This window comes from Homo sapiens, chromosome 10, assembly GCF_000001405.40.
Source record: "Homo sapiens chromosome 10, GRCh38.p14 Primary Assembly".
In the NCBI taxonomy this organism is placed as follows: domain Eukaryota; kingdom Metazoa; phylum Chordata; class Mammalia; order Primates; family Hominidae; genus Homo; species Homo sapiens.
Window position 1 is genome coordinate 123,587,615 of NC_000010.11, and position 5,964 is coordinate 123,593,578.

The 5,964-nt window shown below is 37.0% G+C and overlaps 1 annotated feature.

The window, feature by feature from the left end:
- Window positions 523–1,026: an enhancer, noted in NCBI's record as "H3K27ac-H3K4me1 hESC enhancer chr10:125347653-125348156 (GRCh37/hg19 assembly coordinates)". NCBI's record gives its function as "activates a minimal SCP1, AML or CMV promoter by ChIP-STARR-seq in primed H9 embryonic stem cells {active_cell/tissue: H9 hESC(primed)}" and the evidence as "EXISTENCE:reporter gene assay evidence [ECO:0000049][PMID:30033119]".

Genomic DNA, 5,964 nt, shown 5'->3' on the forward strand with positions numbered 1-5,964 from the left:
GTGCATGCATTTACACACACACACACACACACACACACACACACATACGGGCATGCACATTCTACCTTTGTCATGTATGAATAGGTCTGTGTTATATTGTGCATGTTATTCTGTGACTTGCTTTCTTCATTTAACATTTTGTCTTGGAGGCCTTTCCAGCTGTTCACATGGACTGCTCCATTCATTAATGGCCACACAATATTCCATAGGATAGTTGGAGCATATTTTATTTAACCAACCCCTTATTAATGAACCTAAGAACCTAAATGTTCTTTCCATTTTCTCACAATTGAAGAAAATGAAGCAATGAATATTTTTGTTACATATATCTTTCAAGACATGTGAAGTGTTTCAAAATGTGATGATTTCTAGAAGTGGAATTATTAGAGCTGCAGTTTTGAGATATATATATATAGATATATATATAATCAAATTATTTTCTGAAACTCATCATCCAGTTGCACTCCTATGACAATGTATAAGCCTGCCTGTTTCTCTGCATATATGCAAACATTTGATATTATCCCTCTTTTTAATTCTTAACTATATGGTGGGTGAAAATAAACTCTCATTATTGTTTTAATGTGCATTTTATCAAAATCAACCATATATATTTCCTCCTATGTGAAATGGCTCTTTGTTGAATGAACAGACAGAAATGAATGGAAAATCAACCAAGTTCTCTGAAGATGCAAGGCAAAGTCAGAGTGAGAAAGAGGAAAGAGAACAGCTTCCTTCTATCAGTGGGGGAGGGGCTGCCGAGGCCACGAGGATCCTTTACAGAGACAACCCCACCACTCTGTGAGAGCTGCTGGACAGGCCAGGCAGTGTGCACATGCCATGGGAAATAGGACAAGTGGAGCTGGCTAAGGAGTTATTGCTTAAGATGGTGCACACTGTACCCTGACCATAGGCACTTTGCCCAGGGGGTGCAGTGGGGTCTAGATGCCAGACAGAAGTCTGCGTGTGCAGCTATGTAACTGGGCAGGGCTCTGTTAGTTCACAGGAAGCTGAGACTCGTGCGCTTCATCTGCCTGCAGGGGCATCTGCTTTTAACTCATCCAAAGGGTCCCAAAGTGCTAGGGATGGCTCTAAGACTTCAGCAGGTGAGGGCATCCCTTGGGCTGCCTCTCAGGCACAGTGCGCGTTGTTAACGTGGCTACATTTGCCTTCAGAGGCCCATGTGGTCAGGAAGCAGACGAGGATGAGTGCTGCAGGGCACAGAAGACCTTTGAGACTCTTACCTCTGCTACACCAGCCACACCATCAGTGGAGCACTGAGGCCCCTGCATTCCAACATGCAAACTCTCCATTCAGACCTAAAACATAGGATGACTTAAAAAACATGCTTTCACTGTTGGAAGCATGTGGCTCAAACTACAGAGAAATATCCAGGCTGCACCTGTCTTGACCAACCTGGAGCAAAGGAATCACTCAAACCAACAAACGCCCATGCAGTCTAAGACTGAGCTCTTGCCTGGCTTTGGACTTCAACAGCTCTTTTCATGTCCTGTAGTCATTTGTTAGTGCATAGGTTTCCTGGCTTGAGACTCCAGTGTTTCTCAAAGACAAGAACGCTGAAAAGGGACTCCTTCCTTTTGCATGTTCCAGAGAGATATCAGTATTCTGTCCTATGAGCACTTATTTATTTCCTGGAATAAAACAGTTAAAAGTGTCTCCCACTTTTTTCCTCTCCTTTAAGGACTCCAATTACATGTGTATTCAGTTTCTTGAAGTTGTCCCATAGCTCAATGATGCTCTGTTTATTTAAAAATTCTTGGCCGGGCACGGTGGCTCATGCCTGTAATCCCAGCACTTTGGGAGGCTGGGGCGGGTGGATCACAAGGTCAAGAGATCGAGACCATCCTGGCCAACATGGTGAAGCCCTGTCTCTACTAAAAATATAAAAATTAGCTGGGAGTGGTGTTGCGTACCTGTAGTCCCAGCTCCTTGGGAGGCTGAGGCAGGAGAATCACTTGAACCCGGGAGGCGGAGGTTGCAGTGAGCCGAGATCATGCCACTGCACTCCAGCTTGGTGACAGAGTGAGACTCTGTGTCAAAAAAGAAAAAAAAATTTTTATCTCTGTGTGTTTCACTTAGGGTAGTTTCTACTGCTATGTTTTCAAGATCACAGTATTTTCTTCTCCAGTGCCTAATTGGCATTAATCTTGACCAATGTATGTTTTTATCTCAGACTTTGTAGTTTTCATCCCTAGAAGTTCAATCTGATATTTTTAAGAAAACGATTCTCCATGTCTCTTCTTAACATGTTCAGTCTTTCACTACCTTTTTGAACACATGGAATATAGTTATAACTTTAAATGTCTTTATCTGCTAATTCTGATATCGGTGTCATGTTTGGTTTTTTTATTGACTAAGTTTTCTCTTCATTTTGGGCCTTATTTTTCTTCTTCTTTGCATGCCTGTTAATTTTTGATTGGATGTCAAACATTGTGAATTTTAGTGCTGGGTATTTTTGAATTTCTGTAAATAGTGTTTTGCTCTGGGAATGTTACTTGAAATCAGTTTGATCCTTTTGGGTACTGCTTTTAAGATTTGTTAGGCAAGATGAGAGAAGCATTTAGACTGTGACTAGTAATTACTCACTACTGAGGGAAAATGTGATTGAATATCCATTGGCCTATGAATTATGAGGTTTTCTAGCCTGACTAGTAGGAACACTATTCTTGACTCTGTGATCTCTGAGTATTGCTCACTCTAATACCTATTATGCTTCTGGGTGGTTCATTCCCAGGCCTCAGGTAGTTTTCTTCAGACACACAAACTGATCATTACTTACTTGAATACTCCTAGGAGACCTTTGCAATTTCTGGAATTCTCTGTTCACACCTCCTCCCTCCAGGATTCTGTCCTGTAAATTCAAGCTTCCTTGGTTTCTTGAAGCTCTCAGTTCCATCTCCTCAACAAAAGGAGTTCACTAGCCTCTGCCTGGGTTTTGTATTTCCATGTTGAAGCCGGGAAACGTTCTCCAGACTGCAAGCTGGGGCAATTATAAGGCATATCTCATTTGCTTCCTGTCTCTCAGAAATCACTCTCTCTCTCCCCCGATATTCAATGTCTTGAAAGCCAATGTCCTAAAATTGCCTTCTATATACTGTGTCTGTATTTTTAGTTGTTTCACATTGGAGTGTAAATCTGGTGCCTGTGACTTCATATCTTGGCTAGAAGTGGAAGACTAACCGCAGGGAATTAAATTAAAAATCAATAACAGATATTTGGAAACGTCAAATAGTTAGAAATTGAAAAACACACTTTAAAATAAGCTATGGTCAAATAGTTAATATTAAGGAAAATTATAAAACATTCCAAATTGATAAAAAATGAACATATATCAAAATTTGTGGGATGACATTAACGCTGTGCTTTAAGGAAACTTATTGCTTTTAATACTTGTATTAAAGAATAAAAAAGGTCTCACATTAATGGTTTGAGTTGCCATCTAAAGACACTACAAAAAAGAAGATCAAATTAAACCCAAAATAACCAGAAGGAAGGAAATGCATTTAGCCTTTTTTTGAGCAACATGGGTTTGAATTGCATGGGCTCATTTATACATAGAGTTTTTTCCCCCAACCAAACATAGATAAAAAATACAGTATTTGTGGGATCTGAAACCCACATATATGGAGGGCCAACTTTTCATATACACAAGCTCTACAGGGCTGATTTCAGGTCTTAAGTATGTGTGGATTTTGATATATGCAGAGATCCTAGAACCAATCCCCTCTGTATACCAAGGGATGACTGCAATAGAGAGCAGAAATTAGTAAAATAGAAAACAAAGAGAAAAGAGTAGAGAAATATCAATGAAACCAAAATTTGGTTCTTTGAAAAGATCAACAAAATTGATGTCCTAAATCTATTTAAAAATTAAGTCTGTAGTTAAAACACCTTTCCACAAAGAAAACTCCAGGGCTGCATGACTTCAATGATGAGTATGCTACCAGACATTTAACGAGAAGATGATGCCAACTCTACACAAACTCTTCTAGAAAATGGATGATAAGAAACACTTTCCCACTAATTTATGAGGCCATCATTATTCCGATACCAAAACCAGTGATATACATTATAAGGACATAAAACTACAGATGAAAATTTCTCATTAAAATAAATTCTATAATCTTCAACAAAATAGTATTAAATTGAATGCATCAGTGTATATAAAAATAAGCTATGACTTGATGGGATTTATCATAGAAATGCATAGTATGACTTTTAGAAAGCAATCAATATAATTCATTATATTAACCAACAAAAAATAAAAAACAATACTATCACCTCAGTATATGCAAAAAATGCATTTGGCAAAATTTCATACCCATTCATGACATGAACTATCAACAAGTAGGAACAAAAAGAACTGCCTCAATATTGTTTAGAAAAAATCTCCAGCTAACCTCAGTCTTAATGGTAAAAGTCTGGATGCTTTCCCCCTAACATCAGAAAGCAGGCCAGAATGTCTTTGCTTAACACTTTTGTTCAACATTGTACTGGAGGTCATAGTCAGTTTATTAACAGAAGAAAATGAAATAAAAGAACAAAATGGGGAATGTAAAACTGTCTTTATTCACAGACAACCTGATTGTCTATATAGAAAATACTGACAGTGTTTCTTCGTTCATTTTGTGCTGCTATAACAGAACACCACAGACTGAGTAATTTATAAAGAACAGGAATGTTTTGACTCCTGATTCTGGAGGCTGAGAAGTCCAAGATCAAGGGGCAGGCATCTGGCAATGGCTTCCTTGCTTGTTATATCATCCCATGGCAGAAAGGTAAAGAGAGGGTGAGAGAGAGAGCAAGATGCTTAACTTTCAGCCTTAATTTTAGCCTTTTTATAAATGCATTAATCCATTCATGAGGGTGGAGACTTCATAACCTAAACACCTCCCATCACCATTGCATTGGGAATTAGGTTTCCAACACGTGGTTTTTGGGGAACACATTCAAACCACAGCAGAAATATTTTTAAATTTATTAGCAATAATAAATGAGTTTAGCAAGATCATAGGGTACAAAGTTGTTATACAAAGTCAGCAGTATTTCTCCATACTAACCACAAATAATTGGAAATTGGAGTTAAATAATATTTAATCCATTAATGAGGGTGGAGACCTTATAACCTAAACACCTCCCATCACTTTTGCATTGGGGATTAGGTTTCCAACACGTGCTTTTTAAAGGACACATTCAAACATTTAAAATAACACCCAAATTATGAATATCTAGGAATAAATTTAACAAAAGATATACAACACATGTATACTACAAAGCTGTTTTGAGAGAAATTAAAGAAGATCTAAGTAAATAGAGATATACCATGCTCATGGATAAGAATCTCATTAATTCTAAGATATAAATTTTCCTAAATTGGCCTATAGTTAAAATATTATCATAATCAAAATCTCAGCAGGGTCCTTTGTAGACATTAACAAAACAATTTAAAATTTGTATAAAAATACAAAGGATGTCGACTAGCCAAAACAATTCTGAAAATGAACAAAATTGGAGGATTTGTACTAACTGATTTCAAGGCTTACTAAAAAGCTTCAGTAGTCAAGCCAGTGTGGATTTTGGCTATATATATATGTGTGTGTATATATATGTATATATATACACATACATCTCTTTCATATATATACACATATATATGTATATACATATATATGTATATACATATATATACATATATATACATATATAAATATATGAAAGAGAATAGAGACTCCAGAAATAGACTCACACATATATAGTCAATTGATTTTTTACAAGGCTCCAAGGCAATTCAATGTGTAAATGTTAATGGAATACCTGGATATCTACACAGAAAAAAGTTCCCAAACCTTACTGTACATTGAATAAAAAATTAACTCAAATAGTGTCATAAACCTATATCCAAGAGCTAAAACTATTGTGCTTCTGGAAGAAAAAAAAGAGCAG